Source organism: Homo sapiens, chromosome 18, assembly GCF_000001405.40.
Source record: "Homo sapiens chromosome 18, GRCh38.p14 Primary Assembly".
Classification (NCBI taxonomy): Eukaryota; Metazoa; Chordata; class Mammalia; order Primates; family Hominidae; genus Homo; species Homo sapiens.
The window spans coordinates 10903484-10921355 of record NC_000018.10 but is presented as its reverse complement, the minus strand read 5'-3'; the positions used below and the strand labels follow the sequence as shown (position 1 = coordinate 10921355).

Below are 17872 nucleotides of genomic sequence, written 5' to 3'. Positions count from 1 at the left end.
CAATTCATGTTCTTCTGCCATGGCTTCAGCCGGTCCCTCTGTTTGGGGTCCCTAACTTCCCACAACAGAGAAGTCTGTCCTCATTGTCTCTCCTTCTCTACCTTCCATTTAGTTTACAACTCACTGCTCCGTCACCTTATCTTTTCCACAATTCCACTGAAACTTTTTTGATACACATCACCATCTTCTCCAAAAGGCCTATAATGAATGATCACCTGTAATCAAAGCTGGCCTCTATTAGATTTGACTCCCTCTTTCTTAAAACTCCTCCATGCACATTCTTTGTTTGTTTGTTTGTTTTTGAGACGGAGTTTCGCCCTTGTTGCCCAGGCTGGAGTCCAATGGCAGGATCTTGGCTCACTGCAACCTCTGCCTCCCAGGTTCAAGCGAGTCTCCTGCCTTGGCCTCCTGAACAGCTAGGATTACAGGCACCCACCACCATGCCCGGCTAATTTTTGTATTTTTAGTAGAGACAGTGTTTCACCACATTGGCCAAGCTGGTCTCAAACTCCTGACCTCAGGTGCTCTGCCCACCTTGCCTCCCAGACTGCTGGGATTTCAGGTGTGAGCCACCGTGCCTGGCCTGCACATTCTTACACCTCCTTTTGTTGTCTTAAGTAGTTCCTCTTTCTTGATCTGCTTTTTAAATATTCTTAATTTCCCCCAGATTCTATGATTGGCCGTCTTGTGTCTCTAAATACTCTTGCTGAAGTAGCAGAAAAAGAACACAAAACTTGAAGTCATGGAAACCTGGGTATGAACGAGTTGTAACAGCATGTTGACTATATTTCCAACAAAATTGCATGAAGGCTGTGTGTCTGAGTTTTCTCATCACATTTTATCAAAAATCTAATTTTAATGTCACATACTACCCACTACATTTAAATAGCATATGTAAACATTTTATAATTACTGCATATTTAGGCTATTTCCGGTGTTCATATTGTATAATTGCCAGGAATTTTCAGTCCCTAACTGTTCCGATAACTTTTTGCTGACGAGTGCCGTATCTCCTAAAAGACACTGGGCTGTGGGGGTTGGCTTCTTTCTTTCTATGATTCCCAACACACACGCTATGCACACTCTCTCTTACTGCCCAATTGCCCCATTGTTTCTGAGAGTGGGACTAGATGTAGAAAGATAATAGAAGTCAGGGGAAGGTGGGGTGATCATGATATTGATAAGAGCAAGAGTCTGGCTTTCTCAGAAGGAGGCTTCTATTCAGGAATGACACAGTTGCCCAGTTTCTAGTTAGTGCGAATCTTGTGTTTCTGAATTAGGGGGAACACTGTGGGAAAAGAATGAAATATACTTGTATCTTTTTCAAGGCTGGCTTGTTTGCTTGGTTTCCACGGGAGACATACACATACAACACTATAATTTGAGTTTTGCAATTCAGTTAAATTGACCTATTAGTGAAAATTCCTTTATGATTCTATTTTCAAGGTTCTTAAAGGGATTTTTACTAGTAACTCAACTTACTCTGTGTGTGTGTGTGTGTCTCTACTTTCCAGTGTGTCTACATCTACTTTAGTGGGAAGTTGGTAGAGGAAGCGTTATAGACTGCCAATCAGAACCAATCTTAAACCAGAAATCTTGTAGTCAAGGATTATCTTGGAAAATTCATTATTTGATGATGGAGTTAATTATTTAGGATTCATGTTTCTTTTGAGAGTAATATGGAAGTAATTTTTGAAAAGAAACAATGTTAAGGTGTTGCAGTACCCTCCATGCATAGATGAGAGTGTTGAAGCATGGATGTTTGTGAACAGACCTGCCCTAGTCTCTACAAAGAGTGAGTAGGTGTGGCAGGGTCTTTTCAGCCTGACTGGCCAACCCAAAATGAGGGCATAACACATGTGTTGAACTCATTCAATACCTTCTTGAGTTGACGTATTTGGATATTAAAAAATTCCTAAGGGCCAAAAAACAAATATAATATTTGTTTGCACTTACTGGGACAACAAAAGAAAATTGAAAAATTCAAAAGCTAAAATGGTAGAAATTAATCATGATAAACATTCATCAGTTCTATTCGGGGAAGTTAGTATATGAAATTTTGAACCTAAAGGGCAAATGAATTGGCTGCAGATATGCCATATTTGGGATTAAAGGATTAAAGACAAACATCTAATAGACAATGGGCATGAAGAGACAATTCACACAACATGCACATAAAATGTTAAAATTTCTGACAAACCTAAGAAAATTTATTTTATTACTAATTATAAAAATGTAAGTTAAAATAAAATGTTTTGTAAAAGATAAAAAAGATTTATAAAAAACTCAACTCTGTGTTAAAAAAATTCAATTGAGCACATATATTTGAATAAATTTGAGGGTTAGAATTTTGGTAGCGTTAATCAAAATTTTACATATACTTATAATTATACTCCTAGGAATTTGCCCTAAAGGAATAATTGAATGAATGTTCAAAGATATAGGTATAGTTGCTCATTGCAATGTTATATATAACAGCAAAAATGTAGATATAAATTTACATATTAATCAGAAATTAAATTTTGTTAAACTATGGAACACTATATAAGCAGTAAAGTGATTACATGGCTATATTTATAGACATTGAGTTAATTATATATTAATATGTAATTAAAGCAGGATTCGAAATAGAGTGGTTGTATTTTGTATGTGCTGGTCTTAGTGTGTGGGGGAGTCTATGCAAAAATAAAAGATTTTTAGTATTTTCACGTTTTGTAAATCATTGTTATTTTACAAATAAGGAAAAATATAAAGCTATTTATTTTGAAAAGCGCACCATTGAACATATGTTGATAGTGAGACTGATGAATTCTGACTTTTGTCTTTTATGACGAGATCACCCACCCTTCACATAATATGACAAAATATTAAGACATTATGAAAAGAACTGATAAAGGATACATGGGATAAAAAGCCAAATATAAACAACAGCAATTATCATATACTTAAGGTTGTGCCATCTAGATATTTATGATCAGATCAGGGAAAATAGACATTGCAAGAGTATTAGGTAGATGTGAAAATGATATTTTAAAAAACAATGTGTCATTAAATATGAAAACTATTAATTAAGGGATGATAAATAATGTTTTGTCTTATCTCTTTTACAATTACTTTTAATCTATTAATGATGAACCTCATGTGGGAAATAGGACTTGGAAAATTTTATAGATCTCACCATTTAACCCAAAAGGCTGAAATTACTCATTTGCTGAGAAAATTGTATTCCTTGGGTATATATCATCCATTAGAGCAGCCATTTCTGGGGTTAAACAGATTTCAGCTAAATTTCAACAGAAGATCATCTTAATATTGGCAAAGTAAAATGTCACTATTAATTGAGAGGAAAAATCTATTTTTCTCTTAGAATTTCACATTATGTTCAGTGTTCAATGCATGGTAAAAAATCTTGGCTCCTTTGATTAGATATGAAAATCTCTTCCTCTGAAGAGTTAAAAATAATGTAAATGAAACTTCTGGCAGAAAAGTTATGAGTGGTACAATTTCCTGATGTTTTAGTTTCATCACCAATTTCTGTGCCAGGCCACATGTTCAGCTGCCTGGCAGCCCCTACAGTATGTGAAAATATTTCCCTTTTTATAGGAATATGCTGGCAAAAAACCACCACTTCCATGAATTATTAATCCTTTTCTGCTGATTATTTTGAAGAAGCAGAGGGGCAGGTCCACATTCAGGTGGCTCTCAGCGGCTGAGACATGCTTCATGAAAAACTGTTGAATTAAATGAAAACTGTGCCTCCTTTGACCACCAGTTTTACCACTACATTAGGTAACCTAGAGGGAAAACGAAGTTACTTTTTTCTGTAGTAAAAATTGAGCAATGAATCCATTGAAAGAATGATTGGTAAAAGTAATCAATGAAGAAACATGATGACCAAGTGAATAATGAATTTACAATATGAAGACAGAGATGTCTTCTTTTCCAGTGATGATGTTCATGAAAATATAAAACTGCAAAATGAAAGGAGCCTGTTAAAAACCCTTTTGTGTTATATTAAGGGAGGAGAAAGACTGAAGGGTAACTTGTCTAAGGAAATAAAGATGACCAGAGGCAGAGCTGTTATTAGAAATCAGATGTCTGATTTAAAGTAACAAGCAAAGCCCTGTGGTTTTAAACCACTATTACAGAAAAAAATTAGAGGAAATAAAAAATAATCTCCCTTGTTCCATCAGCTGCGGAGAGCATATTGGTGGGTGACCGACCTTTTGTCTATGTATATTTGTACAGAACGAACTCCCCCTGTACTTGGGGAGTGTTAAACAAAATCAACACAGGAGAATTCTCAGGGCCTGGATGGAAGGTCGTGTGCAAGGAAGTTTGATGACAGAGAACTTCTATAGGCATTCACAGGCTTCCAGAATTCATCATCAGACACTACAACTTTGTGGAATAAAAAAGGTATTTTTTAAAAATTATAATCAGATGGCAGGAGGCAGGAGACACATGATAGGGAGGAGAATAAAAACAGGAATATGGAGAAGGAAGGGAAGACTAGAACTGAGAGGTGACAGCGTGCTGGCAGCCATCGCTCATTCTTGGTGCCTCCTCCGCCTTGGGGCCCGCTCTGGCAATGCTTGAGAAGCCCTTCAGCCCGCTGCTGCACTATGGGAGCGCGTCTCTGGGCTGGCCGAGGCTGCAGCTGGCTCCCTCTCCTTGTGGGGAGGTGTGGAGGGAGAGGCATGGGCAGGAACTGGGACTTTGCTTGCACTCGCCGGCCGACGCGAGTTCTAGATGGGCGCGGCCTCACGGACCCCACACTCAGAGCGGCCTGCTGGTGCCGCACGCCCTGGCAGTGAGGGGCTTAGCACTCGGGCCAGCAGGTGTGGAGGGGGAACTGGGTCCCCCAGCACTCCTGGGCCGCCAGCGCCATGCTCAAATTCTCACCAAGCCTCTGCCTCCTCGCCTCGAGGAAGGGCTCCGGACCTGCAGCCTGCCATGCCTGAGCCCTACCGCGGTTGGCTGCAGCACAGGCCCGAGCCTCCCCTACAGGCGCCGCCCCCTGCTAGGCGGCTCCTGGTCCCATCGGCCACCCAAGGGCTGAGGGGTGCAGGGGCGTGCAGCGTGGGACTGGCTGCCTGCGGCCCTGGCATGGGATCCACTAGGCGAAGCCAGCTGGGCTCCTGAGTTGGGTGGTGACTTGGAGAACTTTTGTGTCTAGCTGGAGGACTGTATATGCACCAATCAGCACAGTGTCTAGCTCAAGGTTTGTAAACGCACCAATCAGTGCTCTGTGTCTAGCTACTCTGGTGGGGACTTGGAGAACTTTTCTGCCAAGCACTCTGTGTCTAGCTAAAGGATTGTAAATGCACCAATCAGCACTCTGTGACTAGCTCAAGGTTTGAAAATGCACCAATCAGCACTCTGTGACTAGCTCAAGGTTTGTAAATGCACCAATCAGCACTCTGTGTCTAGCTAAAGGTTTGTAAATGCACCAATCAGCACTCTGTGTCTAGCTAATCTAGAAACTCCACCTTTAAGAACTGTAATAGTCACTGCGAGGGTCTGCGGCTTCATTCTTGAAGTCAGTGAGACCAAGAACCCACCAATTCTGGACGCAGAACACAGTTCCCAAGATGAGACGATCCAATGGGTAAATAAGAACATTGGCCTTGGGGTCCCTAATCTCTAACCCTTGGTTTCCTCACCTGAAAAGGGGATGTAGTAATAGTACTAATTTCACAGAGTATTTGAGAAGCTTAAGTTAGCTAATATATAGGAAGCTAGCACCTACTTGGTAAGGGATTAATAACTGCAAACTGTTTTATTGCTATGTTAATTTGGGGGAAATGCCACTCTTGATTTAAAATAGGACTAAAGATGGCTAGAAATTGTTAAACTTGCTTTCCTTACTACCTAAAATTTGGATGTTCAAGGAATTGTTCTTATTTTCATTGTCTATCTTGAGTGCTCTTTGAGATACAGGTATCAGAGCCCCGACTTAAAATGAGAATAGGTGACCCAGGTTATTTTTTCTTCCCTGTAACTGGGAAGTGAGGGAAGGCGAGGGCATCCTGATGGAGTGCACAGAGGCAGATGGGGATGCCATGAGGGGTCAGCCTCCTCTCTCCATCCCTGCTTCCCTCTGCACACGTGACCCATTCTTCCCTCTTACACACAGGCTGTTGCATGTGGCAGCAAACTTGGTCATGGGTGAGCCTGGCTTTCTGGCAGCTGAGGAGAGAGAGCTTCCTACCAGATAGGTGCAGAAACTGGCAGAGGTTCCATCTTGACCCCATGTAGCTAATTGTGGTGCAGCAATGTTATTAGAGAGGAGGGAAAATGGAAGCCACAGAGGTTGATAGGTAGATAGGGTGGAAGAGGGAGGGTGAGAGGAGAATGGACAGGCAGAGCTGGATTCATTCGTAAAGGAGCGATGGCTGGTTTACTTATTCAGGAGGAAACATCCTACCTGAAAGGAGCTTAAAGGCTGGTTTGTCACCCTGGACACACGTGGTAGACATTGGGACCTGCTCTGCAGCTGAATGCAATTTAGTCCAAGGTTTGTTTACCGTGTCTGGACTCTGCCATCTTCCGCTCTGCATTTCAATTCTGTTGACCGGATACTGGATCTACAAAGGACAGTTTCTGAAAGTGAAGAATCACAGTTCATTATTTCTAACTGCTTCATCTAAGATTTGAAAGGAAAAAATCCCTTCTATGAATTACAGTTGGCCCTCCGTATCCATGGGTTCTGCACCAACAAATTCAACTGACCTCAGATCGAAATTATTTGAAAAAGCTTATTTGAAAAAAATACAACAATAAAAACAATACAAATGTAAAAAGCAGTACAATATAACAACTATTTACATAGCATTTATATCTATTACTAGGTATTATAATTAATCTACAGATGATTTGAAGTATGCAGGGGGCTGCAAGGTTATATACAAATTCTACACTGTTTTATATGAGGGACATGAACACCTGCAGATTTTGGGGTCCACAGGGGTCCTGGAATTAATTCCCTGTGGATACTGAGAGATGACTGGACATCCATTCTCCATGCTATATATTTTCCTTTTAATTATTGTTGCTGTTTCGGTTTTCCTGAAAAAAAAAAAATAACATGTTTTAAACTTCTCTACATTATAAATCTCATTTAAAAAGTGTTGAATCAAGGAAGTCTGCCAGCTACTTTTGTTTTCTCTACTTTCCCCGTGTTGGACTGCTTTGGCGAAAGTGAATAATATTACCTTACTATGTAAAGCATGGTTAATGGCTTTAAAAGAATTCCCCAGCAACTGAATAATGGGCTGCCAGAAATATTCGTGGTGCCAAAGGATCTGGACATGTCTGTTCCATTTATTGTGTGTTTCTTGTTTCATCATGACTAAGTGCTCACAAAAGACATAAAAATCCAAACCTCTAGGGTATGTGGAGTTTGAGGGCAGAAACCATATTTTAATATATCTAGTCTCATACCTAGCATGTTAAGATGGTTAGGAAAGTATCAATGGCAAAAAATGATGAGCCTGTGGTATGTCAGACACTGAAATTATTAAGTTGATTTCTGGTGAATAGAAAGAAGTCGTTCTGCCACTGCTGTTGTGCCTGGTTGAGTGGCCTAATGTTTATTCTCAGGAGTACTGAGTGTCTTGCATCGAAACCTTTTGACTTGTCCTGCCTGTTTAAATAAGTTTACATTTCGCAGAAGTAGGAAGATGGGACTTATTTTTAAATTAAAACTCCCTGTTAAAAAAGCCTAACAATATAGTATAGCAAAATCATTTAAATTAAAAAATTTACCTGAATAATAAATGGAACCTATTAAGAAAAGTAATTGAACCTATTAAAAATAAAAAATAAGAATAATACTGAAAATATCTGAGAAAACAGTGGAAATGTAGAAAAATGTAAAAGGTGCTTTGTTTCTTCCACGAAGCAAGAGAAGTCAAGCCGAGCAGCATCTCAACCTCCTCACCGTCCAATCCTTCCCTCCGGGGACCCTCCACACTTGGCCTGTGCTTGGCCATCTGGTTCTCATTTTGGTAGGAGACCCTCATCTCTCCCACCTCATAGTCTAGGCAGGCAGTTGCCACGGTTCTTGAACACACTGTGGCTTCCACAGGTTATGTATTCTCTGCCAGTCTCTTAATTGCTAGGATTTCAGGGGCAGGATAATTGTCTGAGAATTACACATCATAGACATGTATCAAAATATCACACTGTTCCCATAAATATGTGCAATTATTATGTGTCAATTAAAAATAACAATATTTTTAAAAAGAATTCCTGAGAAAGGGATTCTTAATTGTTTTGCATGTGACTCACAGGTCAGAAGACATTCACATGGGACCCACTCCCCTGGGCCAGGGGCCAAAAGAAATTCCTGGGCTGGTTAGCTCAAAGTCTGTGTTTTTTTTTTTACTCCTACTCAGCAAAACATATTGGAATTCAGCCAGAGAAGAGTGACTTCATGTGAAAATATAAGCCTGAATCTGCTTTAAATGTGTTTGTGTGTCTAATCCACATCCGAAATTTAGTCATTTATTATTTATCAGAATTATTTAAAACACTCCATCATGACCAACTAGTATGAACCCAGGTCCCCTGGCAAAACCCCATGATCATGATCTCTTGGGACTAGTTCAGTCCTTAGAGAAGTCCAGAGAATTGGCCCTGGGGCCTCCTACTCCTCTTGAGGAAGCCTAATGTCTAGGAGACACTTAGTGGCCATCCGAAGATGAAGCCTTTGAGGCAGAGTTCTCAAGAAATAAACCTAAGCACCGTACGAGTTTAATTTGACTTTAGGAAAAGAAGCCAGGTAGCTTTTCAGCTGCCTTTTAGCTGGGGACTCAGTGCTGAACCCACCGTTTCCTATTGACAGAAGTAACTCTATCAGAAAGGCAGTAATTATCAATAACTACCTGCTGTGATTATCAAGCACCTAGTGCACAACACAATTTATGAATTTAGGGCTAGGTGGGTATTTACCTGCAATAGTTACTGAAATCAGAATATGTTTACCATTGACTAAGCATCAGGAAAATGTAAACAAATGGCACGGGTTAGCACAAATCCTTACTTTTGGTAAATGCAGAATTTTTATTAAAAAGGTTTTTCCTAAAATTTAGCACTTTTCCTTATATCAGGTACTCAGAAAATTATTATATGCCTGTGACATAGGGAAGAAATATTACATAGAAAAATTGTATAACATCTTTTTTATACCCAGCTGTCCATCTCTTATGGATTTGGATATACTGTTCTTGATATCAGTTGGAATAGCATTTTTGTGTTCTTCTGATTTAACATGTTTAGCTTAAAAAAAAAAGAATATGTGAATTCTGTGGTCAACACTGGTAAGATAAAGGCATGGTGGGTGATGTGTTGGAACTTCAGTGTCACCTGGCTTTCCAGATTGCTCCACAAAATTACAAGTTGAATTTTAGAACGTACAGCTGTTTGATTACGTTTAACAGGAGAGTTCCACCATATTTTTCTGAGCAGGACACACTTAGATTTTTAGAGAATTATTGGCGTGGCCTAATGCTTTACCAGAGGGGTTGGCATGGAGAGTTCTGTCACATGCATATTTTGTTGTTGTTGTTGTTGTTTTGTTTTGTTTTGTTTTTTCAAGATGGAGTTTTGCTCTTGTCGCCCAGGCTAGAGTGCAATGGCATGATCTTGACTCACTGCAACCTCTGCCTCCATGTTCAAGTGATTCTCCTGCCTCAGTCTTCCGAGTAGCTGGGATTACAGGTGCCCACCACCATGCCCGGCTAATTTTTGTATTTTTAGTTGAGACAGGGTTTCACCATGTTGGCCAGGCTGGTCTCGAACTCCTGACCTCAGGTGATCTGCCTGCCTTGGCCTCCCGGAGTGCTGGGATTACAGACGTTAGCCATTGCGGCTGGCCACATTGCAGGTTATATGCACTTAAATCCCTATGTGGACTCGACTTCTGTATATGCGGACTTTTTATTAAATTTTCTGTACTCTACAAAGGCCATCTGGGACTGGAGGTGGGGAGTAATGCATTTGAAGAAAAACCAGTCATCCTACCTAAACATAAAACCAAATATCTAGCGTGTGTGGAAAAGCCGAACAAAACTATCTGAGTCCTTGATGTGCCCTGATTATGTCTCTCCCTTCCATTACAGGCTCAACATGGGAAAAGACATTCCGGCAGATCGGCTTTGAAAGGTAAGCAAGGGTTGGCATGTCTCCATTTTAGTTACTCTTGTCTTTTAAGTAATTTCTTCTAAGTAATTTATTGATTATAAATCAATAGTCCTGTCACCACCCTTTTGGTAACTGTATGACCTTGATCAAGTCGTCATTTTGCCCCTCCGAGCCTCAGTTTCTTTGTAGAGCATTACTTCATAAAGCCTTGCCTGCACACAGAGTGGAAATAAAGATAGAATGGGGCAATTGATGTGAAAACGCATCTTGAACTGTAAAACAGTACACAAAGTAAGTTACAGAATTAGAGAATCCCAGGAAATGGTTGACTCTCCCCTAGCTTCATCACCTCCTATGTCATAACCAATTCTACAGTTTTAGAACAGAAAAGTTTATATTTCTATTGATGTCTTCCCAATTATTAAAAATGTTAGATCTTATTAGCCTTAAGTGAAAACCTGAGATGATGTTTTTCTTAGCTAAAAGCATCTCCACACCAGCATCTCCCCAAAAGAAACAAAAATAGACTCATTAAAACATCAGAAAATGTGCTGGTAGGTCCATGCATTTTCTTTTCTTTTCCTTTCTTTTTCTTTTTTTCTTTCTTTTTTTTTAAATTTTGTTGAGACAGGGACTTACTCTGTTACCCAGGCTGGAGTGCACTGGCATGATCTCGGCTCACTGCAACCTCTGCCTCCTGGGTTCAAGTGATTGTCTTGCCTCAGCCTCCCAAGTAGCTGGGATCTCAGGCGCCCACCACCACACCCAGCTTATTTTCGTATTTTTAGTAGAGACAGGGTTTCACTATGTTGGCCAGACTGGTCTTGTACTCCTGACCTCAGGTGATCCGCCCAGCTCGGCCTCCCAGAGGGCTTGGGATGACAGGCGTGAGCCACTGCACCCGCTGGTCAATGCAGTTTCTAAACCACCTACCTTGGAATGAATGTTAGCATTTTGCACAGCTTTCTACCAGTGGCATTTAGCATCTTATCTCAAATTTTCAGTGGAAATATAGCTATTGAAAGAAAAAAAGTCATTTTAATTTCATTTTACTGTCACAGTAGGTTTTGACTAGTTCTTTTTACCATATTGAAAATGTGTTTGTCTCTGTATTGATGAAGCTGACAGAGCACTTAAAGTATACAAAGGAAATAATAAAATACTTGAAAATGCATTGTTTCTCCTGTAGCAATAAAGAATAGCACATCGGTAGACCCATGTGGTAGCAGTTTCTTTGCCACTTGTTAATTGATTCAAAGATGATTTATTTCCCTACCAACACCTACATCAGCACCATCGCTGTTTGCTGTCTCAGTAAGTGCTCATAATTCTTAAGGTATTGCGGGAAGTTGATTTGGGGTGGTCAGATCCCATAGGCCAACTTAAAAGAAAGAATGGAAAGTCATGCCCAGCTTTAGTTCCATGTGAAATCTTTTTCTAAAGCGTCTTTCCCTTGATCCTTCTTTCATAATATGAAACATCTAAAACATACACAAAAATAGAGATAATGGTAGAAAAAGGTCACCTATCCACTCCCCAGCTCCAATAAGTCTTTGCCACACTTACGTTATTTATTTTGGCTGAAACATTTTAAAGAAGTTCTCAGATACTATGTCATTTCATCCCTACATAGGTCAGCATGCATCTCTGAAACAAATGGGCCATTTCTTCCAGAATAGTGCCATCATCATACCTAATACAAATAAGTCTTTAGCATTATTTAATACCCAGTCAATATTTACATTTCCTGATCATCTCAAAAATGTCATTTGTATTGGTTGCAACAGGATGCTATGGAAGCCCAGACATTCCATCTCATTATCACTTCCCTTAAGCTTCTTTATTTAGATCAGTGCCCCCCAGCCCCTCCAGCTTCCTTTCATTTTTCTTCACATCATTGACTTCTGAAGAAACCAGATCGGTTGTCTTACAGAATATTTTACTTTCTGAATTTGTCTGTTTGCAATATTGTTTGTTATTCTAATCCCTCATTTCATGTAAATTCAAATTATTTCACGTTCAGCCTCTGGGAACATATATGTGTTGACTTCTCGTCCTTTTGACACAAACCCATCACTCTATCGTTTTCGTGTTTCCTGCACAGTTAGATGGCCCAGGCTCATCCCCTGTTTCTCCTTGGCTCAGCCTTTCCTCCCAGCAGCCATAGACAGTGGATGTAAAAGTATTTCACTAAAAGTTTATTTACAAAAACAGGCAGCAGGCAGGATTTGGCTACTGTCATTTGTTGACCTCCACTGTAGACTTTGGTCATCACCTGGCAGGTAAAAAAAACTCCTGAAAAAATTGCACAGGCTACCCAGACAGTCAGCCACGCAGCATCCCGCACAGTTCCAGGTTTGCCTGGTTCCAAAGACTGAGCTTTCAACACCATACCACATGGAATTCTTGGGTATGTTTATTTTTGAGCCTAGAGTTTCAACCATTACTTTTCAGTACTTATAGTATGGGTCCATTGAGGGCCTTTGGTGATCATTCTGGTTTTTGGATGTCTTAACATGTCATCCTGTGTTTTCCCATGTCATCTCAGGTTTTCTCGTTTAAGGGCCAACAGTATTCTGCACATCACAACAAGCGCCTTCAAATACAGGACAGATAGTGATCTTTGAGGTTCTTGTATATTTACAGTTGCAAAGACTAAATGTCAGCAGTACTGTTATATATGGCTTGTCTTTTTTCTTCTCAAGTTTAACCTGTTCTTTCTCTTAAAGGGAAATTCCAATTATATCTTAAATACAGCTATCTGGTTCTTTAGAGCAGTCTTAAAAGCTATCGATCTTTTCATCACTATGTCCTTCTTTGAAGTTCATCCATCAACCTGGTTGCCAGCGGATTATTTTAAAGGGATCACATCTAAATGAAAAGAAGTAACTGAGTCAGCTAAAGCTGCAAAGCTTTTTCTCCAAGAATAAAAAAAGCAAAGACGCTTTCTGTTGTGTAACTGTTATACTGAAAGGAAGACCTAGAGGACCTGCCCTGCCTACCCTCCTTGCAGTAACACTAGATGGGATAGTGGTGGACCTCCCCTGAGATGTTGTTCAGTTGTCTCTCTGGAAGCTGTGTGATTATATGCATTGTCTCATAATAAATACACGTAGTCACAGTTTATGTGGCTGTACTCATAATAATGTGTCATTTACACCTTCACACAATCACATTTTCCCTCTGTGGGGCTATTAGTTTATTGTAAGACTTCATTACAGAAGTGTGTTGTAATATAGAAAGAAAATGTTGTAATGTAGGTTTGTGTATCTTCTCAGTCACCTCCCACTCCTGGTACTACATTAGTAATATCTACATAACAAAAGCAGACTCAATTTTTTTTATTATAGATAAAAAGAATCTGTGCCTATCAAATGTTGGTTTCAATCAGCTCACCTTTCTGTGCAGATTTTCTAAGCTTATGATTATAAATATTTCCAAATCACAGTCATTTATTAGTCTAGGATAGGGTGATGCCAGGTGGGCGTGGCTTTGTACATTCGTGGACACCCTGCCTGTGCTAATCATGTGTAATCAGTGAGGGTGGCTTTGAAACCAACAAGCTTGGAGCTAAAATGGCCCAAATTCTTGGTGGCTTAATACAACAAATGTTTCTTTCTCACTCCTGCAAAATCTGATGAGGAGAATAGACAATTCTATGGGGCAGCTCGCCTCCACGGGGTGTGTCATTGGTAGGCTGCATTCTCACAGTGCTTTCATCTCAACATGATGCTTGAAACAAATACATCTTTTTTTTTTTTTTGAGACAGAGTCTTGCTCTTGTTGCCCAGACTGGAATGCAGCGGCGTGATCTCAGCTCACTGCAACCTCTGCTTCCCGGGTTCAGGCGATTCTCCTGCCTCAGCCTATCAAGTAGCTGAGATTACATGCACCCGCCATCACACCCAGCTAATTTTTGTATTTTTATTAGAGACGGGGTTTCACCGTGTTGGCCAGGCTAGTCTTGAACTCTTGACCTCAGGTGATCCACCTGCCTCAGCCTCCCTAAGTGCTGGGATTACAGGCGTGAACCACCATGCTCAGACCATCTTTCTTAATTCAATGATTAATGCTGTTCTTATGGTGGCTTTCTGAAATATGGGCTTCTAAATTCTTCAGTTCTTTCAGATAATACACAAATATTTCTGGGAAGTGTAGCAACCTGTTCTGAAATTATAAAATTTCAAAGTTCACTTAGGCATTGAAAGAGGACTTGGACAATTTCAGACTGGATTTTAAATGTTCCCTCTGGGAGTGCCGTTTGTCACTACATCTCACAGTACTCAGGCACCACACGGCCATGGGCTCAGGAAGGCGACAAAAGACAGGATATAAGAAAGTTCTTGGGCCGGGCGTGGTGGCTCACTCCTGTAATCCCAGCACTTTGGGAGGCCTAGGTGGGAGGATTGACTGAGCTCAGGAGTTCGAGACCAGCCTGGGCAACATGGTGAAACCTCGTGTCTACTAAAATACTAAAAATTAGCCAGGCGTGGCGGCATGTGCCTGTAGTCCCAACTACTCAGGAGGCTGAAGCAGCAGAATTGCTTGAACCCAGGAGGCGGAGGTTGCAGTGAGCCCAAATCGCCCCTCTGCACTCCAGCCTGGGCGACAGAGCAAGACTCTGTCTCAAAAAAAAAAAAAGTTCTTATAATATCTATCATAGTGATCTCTCAGTGAGTTCTGAACACAATTTTCTCTATCTAAGGCTGCGTTTTTTTGTCTGGGAAAAATATATCACCAAGTAAATAGGCTTGAGTATATTAATTTGCCAGCAGAAATCAAAGTTTTTGCTTACTGGGAGATCATATTGCTGTCTATTTAAAAATAACAATATTTTACTGATCTCTTGCCCGTTTTTAATTAAAAAGCAAAGACGATATTCTCAGTCATTCTGTGTAATCAGAACATTACTTCAGATTACCTTATGATTAACATTATTGTATGTGATTTTATTTGATGCTCCACTTGGATAGTGGAACAAAATATCTTGCTCCTTCAAAGAACATTTTAAAATAGAAATCACCCTGAAAATAGCCTTCTGCAATGAGATAACAAATATCCCTAGTTTTTTTTCCTTCAGTGTAGACATAATTCAAAAGGCCTAGCTCTGTCTTTTGGGGTGACCGCAGCCTTCCATAGCTCTGTCTGTCAGCAAGCCTCTTCCCCAGCATCTATGTCATAAAGAAATTTCCAACCACCTCCCAAGTTTTAGATATTATTGCTCAGTAAAACCTGTCCTGATGGCCCACTCCCAGGAGCATGACCTCTTCTCATAATTCTTTTCACATTCTTGAACATGTAAGGAGGAGACTCTCTTAATACCCTGGTGCCGTGGGCAATGCCTGATATATACTAGCTAATCTGATGTTTGTGGGATAGATTAATGACTTCTTAATAGGGAAATTGGAGAGTGCTTATAAAAGAGTGGACTTAGGAAAAAGTCAAGAGAGAAAGGACCCACTGTCTTTTTGTCATTACGTTGCAGCAGCTTCTGGAAGTGTCATTTGTCACTACAACTCACAGTACTCAGGCACCACACTGCCATGGGCTCAGGAGGCGGCTCACTCCTGAGAGTAGAGGGAAGAGAAATGTGGTCCACCTTGCAAGTTTTTTTTTTTTTTTTTTGAAACAGTTTCGCTCTTGTTGCCCAGGCTGGAGTGCAATGGCATGATCTCGGCTCACTGCAACCTCTGCCTCCCGGGTTCAAGCGGTTCTCCTGCCTCAGCCTCCTGAGTAGCTGGGATTATAGGCATGTGCCACCACACCCGGCTAATTTTGTATTTTTAGTAGGGACAGGGTTTCTCCATGTTGGTCAGGCTGGTCTCAAACTCCGGACCTCAGGTGATCCACCCACCTCCGCCTCCCAAAAGTGCTGAGATTACAGGCGTGAACCACCACGCCTGGCCAACCTTGTAAGTTTATAAGCCCGCAGTACATGGCATGGAGAGATACACAGTACCTCTGTCTTAATTCAATGATTAACCCTGTTCTTATGTTAGATTTGTGAAAGATGGGCTTCTAAATTCTTTAATTCTTTCAGACTGTATGTGCATAAATATTCCTGAAAAGTTTAGCAACCTATTTTGAAATTATAATGTAAAATTTTGTCAAAGTAGTTTATAATCGGGGAAATGACTGGGAAAAATGATTTTTTTAAGTTGTTATTTAAGATTAAGACCAAAATATTAATTTATTCTCTTCTTTGAACATTTTTAAGCCTGTGCTTCCTGCCCACCCCTGGGCTATATTTGGAGTTTTCAGATAAACATCACAGGAATGGAAGTGTGATTTATCAAATACTTACACTATGCTGGCTTCTGTGTTCACACTTTGCTTTAGGATTTATTGAATTCCCACAACTTCCAGAGTCAGATTCTACTGAGTTATGCTGGGCGAACAACCCCATATCTCAGTGACTTAAAAGACCAGAGGGTGATTTCTTGCTCGTATTAAATGTCAGCTGCAGAGGCTGTGGATTGACTGTGGCTCTTCTCCAGTGCCTGCTCCATCCTGGGATCCAGGCTAAAACACAGCCCTCATTTGGTACATGGCTTTCTTGTGGCTGAAGAAGAAATGCCTTGGCCATACCAGGCAGTGGCTCTTGAAGCATTTGCTCAGTGTGAAGTATGCCACCTCTGCCTACTTCCAGGTGCCAAGCCCAAGGCCTGTGGGCACAGAAGCACGCTCCTCCCACAGGGTTCCACTCTAAGCCACACATCACACACAGGGATATAGAAGACCGTCGTAAGAAAGGAGAGTGACTGGGGGGAAGTACTACACAATCTACACAGTAGACCTTTTCCATCTTACAAATGAGTAAAGTCAAATCTTAGAAGTTAAGTATTTTACCCAAGATTGCACAGCTAGTAGAGGCAAAAGCAAGCGGTAACTCGGTTTTATGGGCTCTACCTTCTATTCATTCATAATCTACCATGCTGTACGTGTCCATAAGGGTTTGTTGAGCACACATTATGACAACAATGCTGGGTGCTAGGGATGATGGGAAGAATAGGTCTTGGTCTTAGAGATGATACCATTTATATTTTATGTTTATACATATCTCCTCTATATGTAAACATAAGGTACATAACTAAACGGTATCATGTAACTGACTATTATATTTTATGTTTACACATAACTCCTATATTTTGTATTTTTATGAGTTACATGCTACCATTTAGTTCAATCACTTGAAAATGTTTTTGGAGCAGCTGCTGCTGCTGTGTACCAGGTGCTATTCTAATGATATCTATATTACAGAAGTGGAAGAAGGAGTAGGTCAATGTGTGAGGTTGAGGCAAGGCCTGGCTGCATAGTTGGGGGACAGGGATGGGAGTTGTCTGTGAAAGCTTAACTTCAGGGAACATCTGGGCAGAGTTTTGAAGAATGGCTTCATTGGCATTCATCCATCTGAACTGTTAGGGATAAAGTGTGAAGCCACACTTGATAAGACATGAAATCTGGGTATGGAGTGGAAACCATGTCAGGAAGTATCTTATAGGCAATGCCAAGAAGTTTGAATCTTTTTTTTTTTGAGATGGAGTCTTGCTCTGTCGCCCAGGCTGGAGTGCAGTGGTGTGATCTCGGCTCACTGCAAGCTCTGCCTCCTCCTGGGTTCATGCCATTCTCCTGCCTCAGCCTCCCAAGTAGCTGGGACTACAGGAGCGCGCCACTATGCCCAGCTAATTTTTTTTATTTTTGGTAGAGACGGGGTTTCACCATG

The 17872-nt window shown here is 40.6% G+C and overlaps 1 protein-coding gene across 11 annotated transcripts in view; it reads left to right on the top strand.

The window, feature by feature from the left end:
* PIEZO2 (piezo type mechanosensitive ion channel component 2) overlaps positions 1-17872 on the top strand; it is a 479323-nt gene that overhangs the window by 228214 nt on the left and 233237 nt on the right. For all 11 annotated transcript variants that reach the window (XM_047437735.1, XM_017025918.3, XM_047437736.1 and 8 more), the window contains exon 4: positions 10128-10170. In XM_047437735.1, the coding sequence (XP_047293691.1) occupies positions 10128-10170 (43 nt within the window). The remainder of the gene's footprint in view (positions 1-10127; positions 10171-17872) is intronic.